The following is a 21,738-nucleotide window of genomic DNA, read 5'->3' as shown; positions in this document are numbered from 1 at the left end:
TCAATTTCAGAGGGTGTAAAAATAATCACTCACCAAGATATTCTTGCAATTCAACTTATACTAAAGGGGTTTGCCAATACTCAATATAAAATTCAAATCACACCAGTTAAAATGTATCCCGTATATGCATCTATAAACAAATTAGGAAATATGTATATGTAATTTGTTTGCTCAGTGCAGAGTCTAGTTAGATCATGAAGAAAGAAGTTCAGGATTTTCACAATGGCAGGGGAAGTCACTCTCAGGTGCATGAGACTGAGGCAGTTACTGAAATAAAAAGAACCGCGGGTTTCAACCGACTTTAAATTCAATATAAGCCAGTAGTGTGAAGCGGCTCCTCAGGAAGTCAGTTCAATATCAGTTACATCAACAGAAATGTAGTCCTTTGTATTTGCTAGACCTTGAAAACTGTGATCTGTTCTGAGTATCATACTTTAAGAACGACAGTGACACACTAGAATGGATCAAAGAGGAAGACTCCAGGACAATGACACTGTTGGAATCATTTAAGATGAGACCCAATTTAAGGACTTGTGATATAGTTTGACATGGGGAAAACCTGGATACAAGTATCTGAAGAGCAGTCAAAGGGAAAAGCGAATACAAAGTATTCCTCAGACTTTATGAGGACAAATATAAGATCAACAAAAAAGTTACAAATTTTGGGTCATTTTCTAAACCCACAGGGCAATCCAACATTAGAATGGCTGCTCTGTGGAGCAGGGAAGCCTGAATGAGGAGGTCAAGATGTGGAGGCTGGAGAGACATTGTGGAAGGGTGTGTTGCCCCGGGCCAGAGGGCTCTCTGTGCTCTTTCAGCCAAGTCCCTTTTCCTGCTGCTAATTATCTGTCTTCTTTAGGAACTCTTAGCTTGGTTGAGTCTAGGAGTATATAAATTAGCCCTGTGTAAGCTGTAACAATGAGAGATGACCTAACAGCTATGTGCTCCCAAATTGCAAACCTTACCAAGGTCAAGATGTCTCTTCTCCCTTGTTAAACTTAACCTTTGAAGATTGCTACATTGTCATAGAATAGCTACTCATCTCAAAAAAAAAAAAACCAAAAAACAAAAAACAAACAAAAAAAACTATCTTGAATTTTATCCAAGATAGTTTGCACTTTCATTTGCTCTCACACTGATTTATAGGCACAAACCAGGAGTCTCTTCAGATGAGTAAGTTAAACTTGCAGATTAGTCTTTTTCCTTCTGGTTCAGCACCTGCCCCTCCAAGGTTACCAGGATCCTTGTCTCCCTCACGTACCAATACACTGCCCTCATTCTAAGGGAGAATCTCATAAGAAGAGGCTCAGGGAAAGTCTCTTTAGGTCTTTATAGATATTCCAGCCACCTGTGTTTGTTCTTTCTGCCCCTGAGGCATGACCTGATGGTGCAAGAATGGTCAGGAATCTAAGAAGAGAGTGGGGGAGCTGAGCCTCCTACCTTGACAGGTGAAGCATCTGATGTGGAAGTGGTTGTTGTGCACGCGGACCACTTCCCCTTTGCAGGTGTCTCCACAGCGGTAGCACTGGATGACATTGGAGCTGCCCCGTGGATTGTAAGGATTCTGCTGATAAGGAACTGTAAAAGAAACAAAGAGATCACTATCCAGAGGCCCTGATTCTTTACAAAGTCTGCTGCAAGACATTATCATAATTGTAGCTGGAAGAAAAAGTGGAAGGGGAAGAAATGATGTGCAAAGTATCTTCAATTCATCATCAGGATGACTGCCAAGCTAAGGCAGCACTGAGTGGTATGAGACATGTCCATAGCCCTCCTTAAGCAGGCAAGGACTTTTGAGTGAGCATCACCTTTCCTTGCAAGAACACAAGCCAAATCCCTGAATGAAGACAAATAAGAGGACATAGAGTATTTCAAAGTAAGTGATCAAAAATACCATCTTTTGAGTAAGCTTTAAATTAAAATTAGGCCCCAAACTTGTCCAAGGGAATTTGGGACTTGCAATTGACTCAGAAGTTTCAAAGAAGTGGGTGGCTGACCCTGCCTCCAAATGGCTTTTGAATTAAGTGAGTTACAGCCCCTCTCTGGGCCTCAATTTTCATGTCTATCAAATGAGGGTGGTCAAAGGTAGCAAAGACTTTTATAAGGAAGGCATGAAGGGAAGGGGAGGCACTCTGGCTGGAGGGAGGCTAACAAGGGAACTTATCTCAAAGCTACCTTTGAACAGCACTTTCCATAAAACTGGGAAAATGTTACATGTATACAATTAAGAAAAAAATGCTGGTGGAGATTATGAAAGGGTTGAAGTCACTGGGAGCTGCAGGTGAGTGGCCAGCATTTGATGATGCTTAAGAGTTCTACTAGCTTATTGGGTCTGTTATTCTCTTGCTAAGACCATCTCCAATTTTAGTATATGTGCTGCCAAAGTGAGACTGCTAAGACCATTTCATGGCTACTTTTCTAGATACCCTTTTCCTGAGATACACTTGGCTTGGCTATTCTAAAATCTAGTCATCTGATATTTCATTAGGCACCTGCCTACAGCACAAAAATCTCAGGGTTGGAAGGAATGTTGGTAGCTGTCTGGTCTGATCTCATTATGCATAAGCTGTTGAGGTAACTTTGCCACTGAGAAACATACTCTTCTCTCCTATAGAAAACCCCTGTGGCACTGGGGAGAGAATTACTCATTTCTTCAATTCTCACTCAAAGTTGAAGGAATAGTCCAAAAACTTCTGCTCATACCTTATTAGGAGAAGGCTCACTCTTGTCCTGGTTATAAAGATAACCACCTGATTGAAGGGGAATTGGTACCTATCGTTTATATATGTAGACTTCCTGGATAAACTCTGAATAAGTATATCATAAATTAATCTGGACTCACAGCAACCTTGAACCACAAAGGAATTTAAAGGTCACCTACTTTGGGGATTCTTGACCCTGTGTGGTAGTTATGTCTGTTCACTGGAAATTTGAACCTTTTCTTCTAGGCACATGGAGGATTGCACATGGTGACTTGCTTGGCAGTGAAATGTGAACTGAAATTGTGCATGTCCCTTCCAATTGGAAGCCTTAGGAGCCAATATGTGATCTGCTATATTGCCTTTTCCCTAACTCAGGAATGAATGTTACCCCAGATGGTGTGCAGGATGCATCAGCTTGGATCCGGATTGAGGAGTCATGGAACAGAACTGTAAACTAACCCATCATAAACCTCTATCATGAGCAAGAACAAATCTCTGTTGTCATAGCCTCTGAGACTGTAGCATAACCTCGGATCTGACATTTCTCTTTAATTAAATTAAGTGTTACATACATTATCTTGTAGTTTTGTTCATATTCTCAAAGAGATCTATGATCTCCAAAACTGATCTCATCTGTCCTCCTCCTTTTAAAGAGGAACAGGAAATCAGGACTTCTGATCATCTCCCATTTACAGGTATCCTGAATCCCAAGGATGCTATAGAGCAAAGAGCTGATTGCTTAGCACTGAAACTGGCTTCTGACAACTTTGCTAACTGGGGTGGGAGAATAATATACTTCTCACAATCTTTCTTTCATGCAGTTTATGCACATTATTCATCTATTTTTCTCTGTCTTAAATTCAAGACAAAAATCAAACAAATCAGCTAGTTAACTAAATCATTAATTAACTCATTAAATAGGTCAATACATGCAAAATATTTCAAAAACTGCGTTAAGTGCTCCACAAATGTTCACTGGTATCATGGCCATCACATCCCCCCTACAGCTCTGAGCAATCCTTCCCCACCCCCCAGAATGTTCATAAACATTCTCTTTAATCTTATTCTCTTTTCTTTTTCTGATTCTTACTCAATGTTCCCTGGAAAATACTTCACTCTCTCTTCTGCCCTGAATTTGTGAGAAAAATATAGATTCTGTTTATATGAGCAGTGTGGTGATCTACCATTGCCAAGGGAAACAAAGCTGTGAGTCTGAAAATAAAATAAGAACGAATAGTACAATCATCATCATTAACGCTGAGTGCTCTTGGAAGTCTCCAACAGTCCCTCCAGGATCATTGCACAAACTTTCATCTACCTCCTCTAATTCAACCTGTCTTATTGTTCAAGAGCCAACTTCTAAGATCAATTTTATTTTTTCTAATTGGATTTGATTTTCTGGGAAAGTGGATTTGTGAGCATGGTCTTCCAACAGAACTCAGTCTTTGAACCACCCGGATAAAAAAGTGTAAAATCAAAGTGAGGGGAATGGATTAGGAAAATAAAATTTTCTGGGGCTGCAGTAGTGATGGGACCCCAGCCCTAACCCTGCTGCATCCCCTCAAGAGAAGGATGCTGCTTTGCTGATGCTGTGTGTGGCCAGAGCTCTGATGTTTGTAAATAGTCCCATAAGCAAAAATTCATACATTTGGTGTATTAATACATACATACACCATACAACTGTATGAAAAAATACATACAGTTGGTGTGAGTTCTTCCAGATTGCTGATGTAAGCTGTGATTATAAAAGAACAGTGGTGTAGCAAGATTTGAGCTCACAGGTGTGGCAAGACTGTTCCTCATGCAGACTGGACGTAGGAACTCTGGGTGTCAATGGAAGCTAGGCTGGGATATGCCACATCCCTGCTCCTGCCCTGGAAGCCAACTCATTTCCAGTAAGATTTTATATTCTTGGCTAATTAAATCAGAAACTTAATCTAACATTGTTCTGTGTATGTGTACATGTGTATTGGGGGTGTGTATTTACTTCTTCCTACCAATCTATAACTGCCCTGAAATGTTAAAATTTGTTGATTTTCTGCTGGTTATCATTTCCACTAATTTTTATTTCAGAAAATGCAAAGTTTCAGTCACATGATTTATAACATTTTTCTTATGGGTGAATGTCTTTTGAATTCCAAATTGACTTACACGTGAATATTTGAACTACCTCTTATGTTAGAAACTGCCTACCCTTGAGAGCAACATTTGAGACCAGTCACAAGCCTAAAAGGACATTAGCTGTGCTCACTTGTGAGATAATCCATGAAGCTGCCACATTTAGACCTTATAGATTATGTGATTGATTTCTGAAATGTATGCAGAGAACCTCTGGCTTCTTTTAACATTACTGGCCAATAAAGGGTGCCCAAGACAGACATTCCCAGTTACTAGCCCTTAGTGCTATCCACTAGAACGTTCTGAGATGATAGACATGTTCTAGACATCTATGCTGTCCAATATAATAGTCACAGGTGACCACTGGGCACTTGAAATGTAGCTAGTGTGACTGAGGAACTTAATTTTAAATTAAATTTAATTTTAATTAATATAAATCTACATCTAAATAGTCACATGTGATTAGTGGCTACCATAATGACAGTACAGCCTGATAGTTAAAAACAACAACAACAACAACAAAAGACAACAAAAACAACAAAACACCAGGCAGAGGGAAAAGAAATGAAACTTGGTTGAATCCTAGAAATAAAAAAAAAAATGTACAAATTAATTTAGGAATATCATCTCAGACTAAAATGATTCATTTTTATCCCTAAAGAGTTCTAAAGTTGTACTTAAACAATTTGCAATGGGAACCAATTACACATTCACCCATCCTGAATTTGATCTGGAAACAAAAGATCATGAGCAGTGAAATAAATGCTGATTTTTAAAGAAATCACACACTTTCAGGCACTGAAAGACTGAACAAACCTAATCTTTCCGAGAATAAAAGCAAGTAAATCAGTTGCCAATGGCTGTCGGTATAATTTTTTAAGACAAAACAAACAAACAAACAAACAAACAAACAGCTTATTAATGCCCCTGAGATTAAAAATTAGGGATCTGAAACATTAAGCCCTCTTTTATATGCATACCAAATCTTTAGAGTTCTATGAAAAAGTGCATCTTAATTCCACAACTAAATTTGTAAGTAAAGCTCTTCCCAAATTTTAGAGATAATTTCAAGTTGTTGGAGCAAAACAACATATTGGAAGGGGAGGTGTGACCGACCTCCGGGTAAATGAAAAGGAGCATGGGAGTTGAACACAACAGTAAACAAATTCAGCATCCAGTTTCTCCACCTGACTTTTCCTCCCTCTCTCATCTGTTGTTCTTTGTCTCCGTGTGGCTGGGGTAACCTGGGTTCCAATTCCCTCTCTGCTGTTACCTACTGTTCTAATTTTGGGCACGTCATCTAACCTCTTTGGCCCCAATTCCCTCTTTGGAAGAGGTTGAACAAAGTGATCCATACGAGTCCCTCTTGTTACATGATTCTGCCTTGTGTGTCCTCTTCTGTGATTTTTCCTCTCCCTCCACACTCTCTCCTCTCCAGTAACTGGTCTCACTTTTAAACTAGACTTTGCTTTAAGTTATCAGATTTATCAGTCTCTTTTAAAAACAGCGAATGACACGATTCCTCTCCTATAAAAATGTGACCTAAGTTATGTTCTTTCACTGATGTGCTGCCTGCACATGGGTTTTCCTCTCCTGAGAGTCGCTTGACCTTGTAGATAAAAATGTTCCCACATTTTAATAGAGTGTCTTTAAAGCAGTCTTTAAAAGGTAGGAGCACCTATGCTATGCTGGTGTATAATTAAAAGAGTGGGAAAACTGACTTGGAGACAGCGTAACAACTGTGAATAATTGGCTGGAAGTGTAATATAAACAGTGGAACTTCTGGTTGAAAGGTGAAACATCAAGCAGAGAATCCACTGGTTCAGCAATGAGCACACAGCAGCCCAGGGCCCAGGGGATGCCACACATAACCATGCAGGGTGCAGCCGCTTTCACTCTGGCTTCTCAATTAGAGCCCAAAACTCAGAGTGTTCACAGGCATCTGCTAAATACCAAAGAAGACCCAACTGTGGGTCCAGGCATTTTGCAGGTAGAAAGCAGCTGCCTGAAACATAAAGGTGGGGCTTGTACATGAGAGGATCTGGTACTTCACAGCAGGGGCCTCCGGTTTGATTTCAGAGTTGAGCCAGGGCCCAGGTGCCGATCCTGTTTCCTACAGTGAGGCCACAGAGTCATGGGATCGTTGCACTGAAAGGGGTGGGAAGCACACGACACAGCGGGTAAGGAATGGATGCTGGAGTCACTGGGCTGGGTTTGGATTCCAGCCCTGCCACTTGCTGGTTGTGTGATCCTGAGCAATTTACATAAACCCCGCCTCAGTTTCCTCATCTCTAGAGTAAGAATAACTGAAGCAATTTGTGAGTATTAAATTACTTAAATTATAGAAAAGTGCTTAGTGCATTGCTTGGCCTCAATAAGCAATAATTAATATTAAAGGATCTCTGAATCCATGTCTCCTCACCCCCAACCCAGTGCAGGGATTCTTTCTAAATCACCCCTATCAGCTACCCACTGAGCTTTGCTCAAATATTTCTCAGATTCATTTTCTGACAAGTCCAGCAAAGGTTTGCTAGTTTTTCCTTTTTGCTGACTGCCAAGAAAAAAACTCCTTGGCTGCAGACCATTCACCACTATAAGCAACCTCTTCTTTCTCCCCCTATCTCTGGAGGTCTCTTTGTTTATGGGTTTGTGTGGGCTGCAGAGGTAGGTGGCTGACATGCTTTTGATATATCCTGCAGAGAAATGTGTGAATTGGGCATTTCCCTGTGTGAGGAAGAGGGGTTATGATCTATGTTATCCTAGGGCATTGTATTTTGGATGCATCTGCTGTTTCCAGGGGAGGCATCAGTGTGTTTGTTGTGTGTGCTTACTTAAAATAAGTGAGTGATATGTTTTCTGAAAACTCTGATAGGGAGATTATAAGAGCTGCTTCTGGTAACTCCAAGGACCATGCAGGTGTCACCACATTGTGGCATTAATCTGCATTCATTGTATGAATACCTGGGACTAGGCTTTAGAGCAGAAAGGGCCTGGGAGGCTATTCGTATACACGAGATTGTGAGCTCCATGAGGGCAGGGACCATGTCTTTCCAGTTCACCATTACACCTCAGTGCCAGGCACACAGTGAGTGCCCATCTCATTGTGTCATTGTTTCATTCATACTTGCAGAATAAAGAAAAAGATGGCTGAATTGGTCCAGCGGTTTCACTTAACAGATGAGAAAGCTGAGACCCAGAGGACAAGACAGAAGAGGACAAGAAAAGCTCACACAGCAACTGATGCTTGCTTGCCTCAGGGCATGGAGGTATCTGTTCTTGGACCACAAAATGAGAGAGGCCAATCAGAGAGGGTGAGGTGGGAAGAGTTCATAAGAGGCTACATTATCCTAAGTCTGGAGGTCATGCTGAGGTTTAGGGTTAGAGTTAGTGGGCTGGGGGTGCATGTTCCAAGATGCAGAAGTATAGGAGAGGGTTTGGAAGTGACGCCATGCATGAAGTAATAGGAGCAGTTAATGCATAAGGAAGGGTCTTGAAAGATAATAGATAATATTTAGAGGGTGGGTCCTCTATGTCAGGCAGTGTCCTCAGCCACTTATATATGTCATCTCATTGAGCCCTCGTAACTCAAGAGGGGATACTATTATCCTCATTTTACAGGAGAATGAAACTCAGAGACCTGAGACCCCTTGTCCAAGGTCACACAGTTAGTAAACGGCAGAGGCAGAATCTGAACCCAAGCAGTCTGACTTTCAAACCCGGGCTCTTACCACTAAGCTCAACTGCCTGCAATGCAACAGTGCCAGTGGAATGGCTACCTCTGGGGAGGAAGTGGGAAGCAGGGGTAAAGGTGTATCTAACTTTTCCCCAATAGTAGTCATCCATTACCTAGTTGTTTTAAAAAATAGTTTAAGAAGATGTAAAAATAATGATTGGAGGTGACTAGAATATAGGCCAGGAAATAGGAAGAGCAATTCAGCATCCCTGGCAGGTGATGAAGAAGCAGTGATTGCTGCTCCAGGGCCAGGGATGTCAGCTTTGGGCAGCATCCCTGGCATGGGCAGGTAAAGCCTGACAGGTGTGTGTGCTGGGTCCCAGAGAGATGCAAGTGCTGCAGGTGTTGGCAGCTGCAGCAGGGTGGAAGTACGAGTCCTCTGGGAACCCCTGGGTCCTTTCACAGATGGCCCGGGCCTGGCTGCAGTTTCCCATGTCAGCAGGTCAGTAACACAGCCTGTCTTCCCAGGAGGATGTTGTAAAACCTTTGCTGCAACAGAAACTCCTCCGCAGCTTCTCTCTGCCAGGCTCATCAGCATGTTCCATGGTCATGGCGTGTTGCTGGCAACACGGCTCGTGCTGCCTTCTTCAGAAACGTGTTGTCAGGACATGTGTCAGAACGGCATGCTCTTGGCCAGCCAGACTGCTCTTGTCTGACAGCCAGCTGCCACATGGCAGCTACAGCATAAAGGGTTTGGGTTAGATAGACCTAAAGGGGTCTTCACTGCAGTGAGCTTCACAAGCAAGGAGGACTAAATGGCAGCCCATAACATCGCAGAGTTCTTTATTTCTTATATTTCAACTGGTTTCTATTCCAAGATAAGAGAAAATGAAGTTTCAGCTGCCGGATTGCCCGCCCCTCCTTCCTCTCTTCTTTCCTCCTCTGCTGTTGACTGTGCCTGTGTCCGTGGGCTCAGCACAGGGCCTCTTTCAAAGTAGTCAAGTAGATCTGTGTTCTCACTTCTTTCCCCAAGATTCTCCTCCCTACCCATGTGCCAGGGAACCATTCTTATTAGCTGGGCATAAAGAAGCCCTTTCTGCCCTCCCTAACTTATGCTTTCTCTAGAATATTTAGCTTTGTGATAAATCCTTCTGTTCTTCTAAAGGGACAGGATTTTAAAATTCAAAAGCTAGGAAGCCACCCATTTTGTCCCTGTTTTCTGCCCATCCCAGTCTGAGGCCTTGCTCACTGAATAGAGGGAAAGGCACAAGAGTGGTGGGTAAAGGAAATCCCAGTTAATATTTCAAAAATACCATCCGGCTACACTTGGTCATGGGTTTTAATGCACGGTGGTATAAAAAGTATCTGAGGAATAAAGAAGATTTGATAGAGAAGGGGAAACATCCCTAGGGTGTCTACCAGTCTGGGCATTTTTTCCACTTTGGAATGGGCTTCTGCCAATCACCACATACTCTCTTGTCACTGCTGAGTCAGTTCCTTGTGATCTTTACAAAGCCCCCAGTCAGTAACACAGAGGAGCCTGTAAAAATAGCTAAAACAACTAACATTAATGGAGCAATCACTATGTGCCAGGCATTGTGCTATGCGCTTCCTAAGCATCCTCTCATTTAATGCTCATGACTTCATGAGACAGATACTGTATGATCTCCATTTTATATGTGAGAATTTGAAGCACAGAGAGGATAATTAATTAGCCTGAAGTTACACCACATGTAAGTTTTAGAGTTAGGGTTCAGACAGGCATCAGTAGGTCTAGAAGGGGCTCAATTTCTTCTCATCTCCTCTCTTTCCAGAGGGTGTTCCATCAAGGCCTCCTTCTGCCCAGTGTATCCTGAAGGAAAGAGGAGGGACTGCCTCGACCCCAGCAGGGAGAATGGGGTTGCCTTGCACTGGAGGCCTGCGGTGCCCTTTCCAGCATCTCTCCAGCTTATCTGAAAAATACTATTTGGGTTTCGTTTGGGGACCTGGAAACTATGTTGGAAATAGAGGAACTTTAGAAAGCCAGCAATTGTCTTTGTGCTATGAGTGACTCAGTCCCCTGGTCTTTGAGCCAGAGGTTTTAATATGTACACAACATTTGCTTCCTGAGATGCTGGCAGGCCATCATGCACTGATGTATTGCGGGGAAATCCAAGGAATCTTAACTGTGAACCCGGCTTTCCTCAACATGGCAGGGAAGTATCAGAGTGGAGGGAATATAGAAAATACCTAGTCTAGAGGTTTCCAAACTTTTTTTTTTTTTTAAAGCTATGAAGACTTTCTTGAAATGAAATGATGAAATGGCCTTTAGGTTATACTGTTTCTGTTGCAAACCACGCATGGAATGCAAACCTATGACACCCTGGTCATCGTTCAGGGAAATTCCCTAGACCAGGGGTTGCTTGCATTGGATGTGGCTCCCAGACACACTTTATTTGGATGGCCCGGTGTTTGTTTTTACATCCTTGCAGATCACCATGGTTCCTACTTCTTTTTTTTTTTTTTTTTTTTTTTTGAGACGGAGTCTCGCTCTGTTGCCCAGGCTGGAGTGCAGTGGCGCGATCTCGGCTCACTGCAAGCTCCGCCTCCCGGGTTCACGCCATTCTCCTGCCTCAGCCTCCCGAGTAGCTGGGACTACAGGCACCCGCCACGACGTCCGGCTAATTTTTTTGTATTTTTATTAGAGACGGGGTTTCACCGTGTTAGCCATGATGGTCTCGATCTCCTGACCTCGTGATCCACCCGCCTCGGCCTCCCAAAGTGCTGGGATTACAGGCGTGAGCCACCGCGCCCGGCGGTTCCTACTTCTTGTTTTTGCCTTACCCCTGGCCAGCTTCTCTCCTGTACTGCCAGGCACTTTAAGGCCTTGGAGCTATGAGCCCCACCTGGAAGCCAGGCAGATGAATGCAGAGCCGCAGCGACTAAAGTGGGGTAGGGCCTGGAGTGCCACCCCTTGTGACCCCATCCCACCTCAGGGAAGCTTCCAGGTCCCCTTCTGCCCCATCTCATCCACTTTCCCATCTTGACAGATGCAGCCCTGTGGCTCAGGGTCTCTATGATGCTGGCCACACCAGGACAAGCAGGAAACATTGGGGAAGTTCCAGTTTCAGATCAGGGACACTTGCCTGAGGTCAGGCCAAAATGAAGGCTAGACAATGCAAGTCAGGAAATTCCTGAAGCCGTTGCAAGCACCCTCCATTCTTATGGGGCAGAGGTCTACTGGAGGCCCCTTTTTGTGTCCAAAGTGCTCCTCCCATTGCTCAAAGTCCTACGGGACTACCCACTGATGGCCTCCGCAGTCATCTGCTCACTAGAAGCTCATTGGAAGTGATCACGCCATGTGACAGAACCCTTCCCACAGAAATCTGAACTGCTGGCCAGGGCCCCATTCCCCAGGGCTGTGAGGACAGCCTGACCACCACTCCAACTCCGTCCCTTCCTCTTGCTCCTCTCTCTCCCTGTTCATTCACTCTCCTCCCCTCTTTCCCTTTCTGCCTTCCTTTCTTCTTTCTTCTCTGTCATACTGCAATTCTTGCTAACATCTGGTTCTTCCTTGGGAGAGAGAATCACTTCCTTGTCTGTCATTCAGTTTTTGTGAGGCCTCAGGGAGGACACTCCCCTTCTCCAGGCTCTTGTTTTCCCATTTACAAAGTACAAGAGTTGCATTCTGTCATCTCTGTTTCCTTTCGGTTATAATTTTCTATGCATGTTAAACACAGGTCACAACATGACATGTTTTTAGAGGCCAGGCAGGTAATGTAAATGGAAAAATTGACCCAAAGGGACCAATCTGGAGAATCTGGGCCACCTAAAGGGGAAAAAATTACTGGGCCTCAGGGGATTATGGCCATGCACAAATAGGTCAAAGTTCCAAGGAGGCCTATCTGTGGGGGCTGGATCCTGCCTGTGGGCCACCAATTTGGGGTCTCTGCATCCAGACAGATAGATGACCACAAAGTCACTTTTAATCACCATCTGAGGGAAGTCACATGCTCACCACATGCGTGTAGGATCTGGAAGAACAGAATATTCTGAAATGAGGTCTTGCAGAGCCCCTGGGTGGATTGGGGTGCACCACAGAAGCATGACACACTCAAGGTCTTGGTGACATTACTCAGGGGCAGGCGGTGGTTTTCAAACGTTTTTTGACCATGACCCACTGGAGGAAATTAATTTTGCATAATGACTCAGTACACGAATATGTGAAACAAAAGTTTCATAGTCAAAACTTAGTACAATCAGAATTTTGTAGTGCATATGATATGTACTGATATTTTATTTTCTTTTTTTATTCCATTCTGTTTCATTATTTTATGCCATTTCATTAAAAAATGTTATTTGCACCCCAATACATTGATTTCAGGATCTGGCAATGGGTTGCACACATAATTTAAAACTAGGGTATGTAAAAGATCACAAGTCAAAGAATGATAAAAATTCTTCTAACTTTGTGCTGTCCAAAATGGTAGCCATTAGTCATTTGTGATTATTTAAATAAAAATTAATTAAACTTAAAAATTCAGTCCCCCAGTCTAACTAGCCAATTTCAAGTACTCAGTATCCGCATGTGTCTAGTGGCTGCTCTAGTGGACAATGCAGAAATAGAATAGAATAGTGGACAATAGAAACTCATGGAGTGTTCTATTGGACATCTGGTCTATGCCAAATTTCACTGTTTGCTAATGAAGAAATTGAGGCACAAGGCCCTTCAAAGAGATATGTTTGAGATTGGGAAGGCATGGATTGGGGCCAAACTGATGAAGCCTCAAGGATGTCTGTCAGTGGTCACTAAAGCAGTCAGGATAAGATGTGGGCTTTGCAGATTTATCCTCACTACAGGACTCTCAACCCGAAGTCCACATCCTATGTTCCATACACAAGCTGTCAGATCCTAACCTTAACCTTCACAGAAAGCAGAAGCCAATTTCCATGTTTTACCAGGCATTTATGGGAAAGCTTATGTCACCTGGAGAGCAGATAGGGTATGGAACCTGTCAGATCTGGATTCAAATGCAGGCTCTGCCTCTCACAGACCTCTCAGTCTGTGTAAGTGTGAGCAAAGTGCTTTGTATCACTGATCCTTAGTTTCTCCATCTATAAAATGGGGATAGTAGTATTTTACCTTCCTTTCAAGATTTTTGAAAGAATAAGATGCAATATACATAAAGCACTTATCACATTTTCTGGCATATGGTAAGTAATAAGAAAAGGCTTACTATAATAATAATGATAATGATAGTAATACTACTAATAAAATGAGACTAAACAGTGTGGAGATGTAAAGATAAAGAAAAAACACTTTCTACCCTAAAGGAAGTTCCAGGCTAGGGTAGGGGAGATTGCTTTTTATTGCATCTCTAATGCTAAGTCCAGTACTATAGGCACTCAATTTATATGTTTCAAATAAATGACTGACTAAATGACTAAATTATACCCACAAATAGCTACAATCTAAGGTAGAACTTGGTAAAAGAATCAGAGAGGACAATACATGAAGTGAGATGATTTTTATGAATTATTCCTGATTAGGAAGGGGAGGAGAGAGAAAGAAAAATTAGGGAAAGTACCATGGAGAGATGGCATTTTAATTTTTTATGAAGTTGTTGGTACATGACACATGGGACTAAGAAGTCAAGACATAATAAGTAACCAAGAAAAATACAGAAGAAAAAGACCAAAAGACAGTAGGAGGAAAGATAAGGAATATTTTGAGACATCTTTGAGATAAGAGAATTTAAAGATCCTCCCCCCAAATCAACGGACGAACATTCCATTTTATCTTTAGGAAACAAAGCATCATTCAAAGTTTCAAACTGAATTTGTGTAGTCTGGGGGAAATATTTAATCTCTGTGAGTATCAGCAAGGAGTTCTCAATTATGGTTTGGCCCATGTATAATGCCCTGCAAACAGCGTTTTTCACCCACAAATGTAGTGGACATCTGTTGTTTTGCCTGCTCAGCATCTGCTCTCTGCTTCATCTGGCAATAGAACCTCTTTCCTGTAGGGAAACCACTCCATGGGGTTTGGGTGGGGCCTGTCCCAGTATGAGGTGGGCGAGTAGTGGTTAGGCCAATTAGAACAGCCCAATCCCCTTTCCGTATGATTGGCAGGCATATGACCTAATTCTCTCTGAGGCTTTTCTGCAAGAGCTCTTAGAAAAGCCACCTGGTTGCTAAGCCAAGAGGAGGTAGTCTGGGGCTCCTTTGCCATCTTGCTCCACATGTTGAGAGAACCTATTAGAGACGGAGAGAGAGAGAGAGAGAGGGAGAAGGAGAGAGAGAGAGAGAGAGAGAGAGAGAGAGAGAGAAACAGAACCCTGAATGAATGCATCATTTAAGTCTGTGGATCTTCCTGGATCTGAAGCCACTGTGCTTCCCAATATACAAACCAATATAGTACACTGGAGGGTGGGAGGAAGGATCAGGAAAAATAACTAGTGGGTAGTAGGCTTAATACTTGGGTGAGGAAATAATCTGTACAACGAACCCCCATGACGCAAATTTACATATATAACAAACCTGCACAAGTACCCCTGAACTTAATATAAAAGTTAAAAAAAGAGATAGGAGCTAGTTTGAGTTAGGATTTTTTCACTTGGAATAAACTAATTTATGTCCTAATTACTCACAGTTCTCCATCAAAATCACAATCTTCCATTAATTTAAATTAAACAAACATTTCAGGACCACTTCATGCTGATACACCTCCTGTATCTAACATGAGCCATAGCATCTTGTGGAAGATAGAATGGTGAACCAGGTGAACATGGCCCCTGCTCTCATGTGACTCACCCTCCAGTGGGGGAATGGTGGGAGAGGAAGAGGAGTATTGTGGCAGACACAGTTGCTTCTCAGCAGCCACTCCTTCTTCTGTGAACAGACTCTCTCTTTACTGGAGGAACCAATTTTTGTTTACTCTCCCCTGAGCAGCCATGTCTTTTGAGAAAGGTTGTGACCTTTCCTGACTTGGGGAGGGAATCTTGTTTGGCGAAAATTGATCCCAGTAATCTCGTTCCTTTGCTAATGATTTAATTTAAGCAAAGACATGTGAAATACTCCTGACTAATGAGACACCAGGGAGGTCCCCTGGTGTGGGAGAGGGTCCTGGGAAGGTTTTCTTGGATGGAGGTTGTTATCCACATGTGATGCTGGAACTGCAGCCCTGGAGTCCATGATAGATTCTGAGGGGAGATCCCCTTAAGATGGAAGGAATCTGGGTCTTGATGGTGTTGCTGAGTCTCTGAATTAGCCTACCTTGGAACTGGCCCTCTCTGGGTTTCCTGTTACGTCAAATAAATGTGTTTAGATTGTTCAAGCCAGTTTTAGCTGGGGGCTGTCGCTTGTCGCTGCAAACATTCTAGCGTCTACGCAGTTAGGAAAGCTTTCTGGACCAGCTCTGGATATGAACAAATTAGCCAAGGAGAGTTAGGGTGAGACGGGGGGTGGGGGGGTCCTACAGCAAAGTCAGTGGTGGGAAGGAACTGGAACAGATTCCTTCAAGGTGCTTTTACTGTATGAGTGTTTCTCAAAGTGGTATCACCTGCTTCAGAATCACCGGGGTGGGGAGCGGGATTGTTAAAATACAGATTCCTGGGCCCCACCCCAGACTTACTGAATTGGGCTTTACATTTTAAACAAGCTCCTCTGGAGATTCTTTTTCTCACTAAAGGTCAAGAAATCCTGGGCTAGACTAGAAAGAAGATCTTCACACAGTCTTCAGCACTGACAGAATTTTAGAAATCTTGATATCTGATACTAATGTGTATCAAAAGCGCTGTCACCATATCATGTGCCAATATCCTTCAAATATTACAAAGTATATTTTCTCTGATGTGTTTGCCAACTTTCACAAATGTTTAAAAAAGTCAACTGGCATTGAAAAAATGTCCCAATACAGCTAGATTAAACACATACTTTATGCACTCAGCCCTGGCAGATGGTTTTTCTTTTCTAAAGTTGTTGTTCCTTTTAGGAAGAGCTGTTTTTGGTCTGTTATTAAAGCCATCTCCCATCAGGCAGAGATGAACAACACAGGTGGCTATGCTGGCAGAGAGATGGGCAGATGGGCAAAGGTGTTTTTCCTCACTCCGTCGTGTCTTCCGAGCCCTGTCCCTTCAGATTTCAGAGCCAGCATGTGATGGTGTCACTTGTGCAAACCAAAGTCAGTCCTTCAACATGACAAATTAAGATTCATCATTGGCCCCTCATATTCCCCTTCCTGGCCTACTCATTACCAAGCCATATAGACCAGTCCCTTACAGAGCGCTTGAGCTCAGCCTACTGTCTTCATCTCTTCCAGCCATAGCCCAGCAACAGGCATCTTTCACCTGGGCTACCACAGTAGCCTTCTACCGCATCTCTTCTCTAGTTCACCAGTTCTCTATTGGGGACAATTCCCTGACCCCTATCTCTTGCCCAGCAGTCATTTGACAATGCCTGAAGACATTTTTGGTTGTCACAAATGGTGTGTGTGTATGTGTGCGTGTGCTATAGGCATCTAGTGGGTAGAGGCTGGGGAGGCTGCTAAACATTCTACAATGCACAAGACAGTTCTTCCTTCTCCCCTTAATGCAGAATTATCTAGTCTAAAATTCACAGTGCTAAGCTGAGAAATCCTACTTTCCATGGATCCCCTCCATCCCACAGATCTCAGGTCAAAGGCCCTTCTCTGACTTCCCTCAGGAGTATAAACCCTACTTTCATTGGTTCCCATAGTCCTGGGTACTCTCTGTTGATTGCACTGCAATCAAGGATGTGTTTGTATCATTAGTTGTGCTTATTTGCTTAATGTTTATTTCCTCCATTGGGCTCTAAGCTTGATGAGGGCAGGGACGGTATCTCTTGAGCTTATCTCTCTAGTCCTAATTCTGAGCATAATACCTAGCACACTGTGGTTTACAAGAAACATTTAAAAAATAATTTACTTTGTACAATTCATGTGCAATTAAAAAACACAATGATTAGTATAGCTCTTGTCTGTAAGAAAATGACATCCTTGTTGAGACCATCTGAAAAATCTATACCACAAGATGAGAAGTGTCTTGTAGGGTAAGAAAAGCATAGTCAGGATACTGCAATGTTAGCAGTTCTGAAACTTTTTGGTGTCAGCACTCCTCTGTACTCTTAAGTTTTATTGCAAACTCTAAAGAGCTTCTGTTTAGATGGGTTACATCTATAAATATTTATCATATTAGAAATCATATCAGATATTTTTTAAAAACAAAAATACACAAGCACAGATTCCAACAGCCATCAGGGTGATGGCTGCATCACACATCACCTCTAAAAAACTCCACTGTAGTAAAACAATGAGAATGACAGAGGCAAATAACTTCTTAGAATTATTATGCAAATAGTATTATCTTGTGGACTCCTCAAGGGGTCTCAGGGACTTTCAGGGATTCCTGGAACATCTTCAAAAGCTGTTGTACTCTAGAAATCCTGATGCTACAGACATAACACCTTGAAGAGGAATCAGAGCAAGTTGCTTGTAAATGCTCCATCTCAGCTGGCTCTTGAAAGATGGGTGGCATCAGGACACCCCACATAGACAAACACCTCTTCTGCTGGCCCACTGAATGGCTCCACAGCAAGAATAAGCAAACTATGGCTCAGGGACAATTCTGTCCCACTAACTGTCTTTGTAAATAAAGTTTTATTGGAACACAGTCTTGCTTACTCATTTACATATTATCTATGATTGCTTTCAGGCTACAATAGTGGAGTTGAGTAGTTGCAACAGAGACCACATGACTGCAAAGTCTAAGATACTCACCATGTGGTCCTTTACAGAGAAAGTTTGCCAACTTTTATTCTTTAGAATGTTTGCAAAGGCAAAGAGTTCAGTAAAAACTAAACCTGATGTCAAATGACTTCTTAAATGTACTCTTTGTCTCTAAATTAGACTGGGGGTTAAAGAGTGAGGAAGAAAGGTGGGAAAGAACATACTTCCATCAGGTGGGGTAAAAAGACCACTAGCTTGGTGAGCCATACTGAGACTTCTAATTCTCTAACATACTGGGAGACTTGGGGCAAGTCACTTACCCATTTTGGAATGCTGAAGAGGATGGAACATACAGGAGAAAATTTCCCAATGGCCAGAGCTGCCCAGGGATGAAATAACTGCTTCTCTAGGTAGTGAGCTTTCTCCATGTGGGAAGCTGGCAGAGGCTGCATGATCACTATGCCAAGACAGATGGGAATCAGACCTTTGAGAGTCAGATGCATGACTGTATTAAGTCAGGGAGCACTGACTAAGTGCTCAAGGGTAGGTCATGCAAGTAAGTGACATCAGTTGGGATAAGACAAAGGGAGTGGGAGATTGTGACTAAACAGGCACAGCCCCTACTCAGTTCCAACTGATTCCTACCAGGTGGGGACATGGGCTCAGTGAAACCAGAAATATGGATTTTAAAGTAAAACTCCCAGTTTTTATATCTTGGCTCAAATATTTAAAAAATAAACGAAAAGAATACTATGTGAGCCAACTAAAACACATTTATGGATCATTTTCTCACCCAGGCCATGAGGACAAAATAAACTTTGGTGCCATTGCCAGGTTAAATATGCTTAGATTCTAAGCAAATAAAAGCAACCCTTTGAGGGGTTTTTGATTTTCAAAGTATCTTAACATCATATCTCATATTTTTGTTATTCAATAGCATAGTCAGGACTAGCACCCGGTACTTGTGACTCTCAGCCTAGTGTTCACAGGACAGCTGCTGATGCCACCACAGCAGAAGAAAGATCTGCACTTAGAGGAGTGGATGGAATGGAATGAAATAAACATGAGTAGTGAAGGGAGGAGAAGTAATCAGAATGAGTGAGCAGGGAGAAAGGTCTTTCCAGGAGGTGCAGTAGACATGACTAGGGCAGCGTACATACAAAAGACAATCCATTTGGAACCACATGCATGATATCAAGTGAACAGCTACTTCAGGGAGATCTTCTTTTGACTTCAAAGGCTTAGGAGCCAATAGATTCCTGTTTCACTTGAGCTAGTTGGAACTGGGTTTTGGTTACTTGTACTCTAAGAGTTCTTACTAATACAAAGTCTTAAAGAGGAGATTAAAGGTTTGCACTATTATAGTGCAAGAACAACCAAAAACAATACATAAATGTATTCCAATAAAATGTATACATAAATGTATTCAATTCAATGCATAAATGTATTCCCAAAAATGTGTTCCAATAAAAATTTATATACAAAGACAGGTAGTGTGTCAGAATTGACCCTTGAGCCATAGTTTATCCACTCTTGCTACAGAATCATTCAATGGGCTAGAGAAGTATACAGAATCATTCAGTGGGCTAGAGAAGAACTGATTATACCTATTTTACAAAGCCTGCTCAGAGGTTATTTGCCTGGGTTATTAGACTAGATGACCTTGAAGGCCCCTTCCCACTGTGAGATTCAAGGATGCTTTGAATTGATTTTGTCTTAAGTATATAGAGGTAGAATCTCTACTTTCAATTCAAGCTATGTTCAGAAACTATGTTTGGAATGAAATGTGTCCTCCAACAAAAAGCCTCCAACCATAATTACCAGTTCTACAACTGAGCATATGTTGATGGAAGCCTCGATTCACAGTGAGCCAGTTAAAATGCAAGAAAGGGACAGCTAGCAGATCTTTCAAGTTAGAGTCCAGGCTGTTAATTACTTTTGTAAAAGAAATACATAAACATACAGATGGCAATTACAGTAAATATGATCATCTACATATAAATATAAAAATCCTACCCACTCCTCAAGGCCTATCTCATATGCAACATACTTCTAGAAATACTTCCTGCTTCTCCCCTCCTCCCTCTCCAAATATGAGCTTTCTTTAAAAATCTCATGTCATGCGCTTCTTATGGGTAAGCAGTGGTTCTCAAACGGATGCATTCTCAATCCTGATGCATTCTCAAACGAGTATGCATCAGAATCCTTGGATGTCTTGTTATAACACATGACCCAGGGTTTTTGACTCAGGGGGTCCAGGGTAAGGACTGAAACTGTGCATTTCCAGCAAGTTCCTAGATGATGTTCATCCTGTGGGTCTGGAGACTATATTTTGAGAACCACTGACCTACAGCATAGTTTACCTATAATGTACCTACTTTTTCATTTGTTTTATATCTTTATCAGACTTCAAATTACTTGAGGAGGGATGCTACTCAGTTCTCTGTACCCTGGAGTATTCTTGTGGGCACTCAACAAACATTTGGACACACCTATGGGGTGAGCTGAGGAGTTAAGTTTTTGGTCAGCATAAATGTGACAGCTGTTTCTCACAACAGGTATTCTTGAGCCCGCAAGGAAGGCAAATGCAACACACTCGTTCCCACGAAACAACCAGCACAGGAGATTTCTGTGGCTAAACAACGCTGTAATGGAAATCACAACACAGTCAGGCCCACCATTCTGGTGGAAGAACAAAACCCAAATGAAACCCGTCAAATGGTTATGCAACTTTTACTACATATAACATGGTTACCATGCTTTAGGGGGGTGGGCAATAAAAAATAATAGAAATATTAAAGACTATCTAAATACCCTTTATAGGAAATCCAATAAAAAAGTATGTTGGAAATACAAAATGTTGACTTGTTGTGTGACCAACAAGAAGGGCTCACCTGGGGAAAAACCATCTTCCCTAAAAGCAGCAACAAAGGAAGCAGAGACACCTCCAGACAGTGATGGATAAGCACAGACTTGAAATTAGGGGAAGAGAAAATGTGAGGAGGGACTCCATGTTGGCTGAATTGGGTCCTCCTGTCCCTGTCTCTCTCACCCCCCAAATTCACATGATGAAGTCCCTACCCTCAGTACCTCAGAATATGACTTTATTTGGCAATAGGGTTTTTAAAGAGAAAATTAAGTCAAACTGAGGTCATTAGGATAGGCTCTAATCCAATATGACTGGTGTCCTTATAAGAGGGGATGGGACACAGGCAAGCACAGAGGGACAGCCACGGGAACTCACAGGGGGAAGATGCCCACCTATGTGCCAAGGAGAGAGGACTCAGAAGAAACCAACCTTGCCCATACCTTGATCTTGGACTTCTAGAACCCAGAACTGTGAGAAAATAAATTCCTATTGTTTAAGCCACCCCGTGTGTGGTATTTTGTTATGCAGCTCTAGCTAACTAAGATAGACTGTAAATAATTATTTTAAATAGCATAAAGGATATAAAAGCTGTCAGGGAATCAGGACCATGCAATGGCCCTGGAGTAGAAGGTGCCCTGCCCTATCTTCCCAA

At 42.3% G+C, this 21,738-nt stretch overlaps 1 protein-coding gene across 14 annotated transcripts in view; it reads right to left on the bottom strand.

Moving 5' to 3' along the window:
- The window catches only part of ABLIM3 (actin binding LIM protein family member 3), a 119,050-nt gene that overhangs the window by 75,513 nt on the left and 21,799 nt on the right, over positions 1 to 21,738 (bottom strand). For all 14 annotated transcript variants that reach the window (NM_014945.5, NM_001301018.3, NM_001345858.2 and 11 more), the window contains one exon: positions 1,441 to 1,578. In NM_014945.5, coding sequence (NP_055760.1) covers positions 1,441 to 1,578 — 138 coding nt within the window. The remainder of the gene's footprint in view (positions 1 to 1,440; positions 1,579 to 21,738) is intronic.

Source organism: Homo sapiens, chromosome 5 (genome assembly GCF_000001405.40).
Source record: "Homo sapiens chromosome 5, GRCh38.p14 Primary Assembly".
Lineage (NCBI taxonomy): Eukaryota > Metazoa > Chordata > Mammalia > Primates > Hominidae > Homo > Homo sapiens.
Note: the sequence above shows the minus strand (reverse complement) of the source record. Positions and strands in the feature narration are given on the sequence as shown.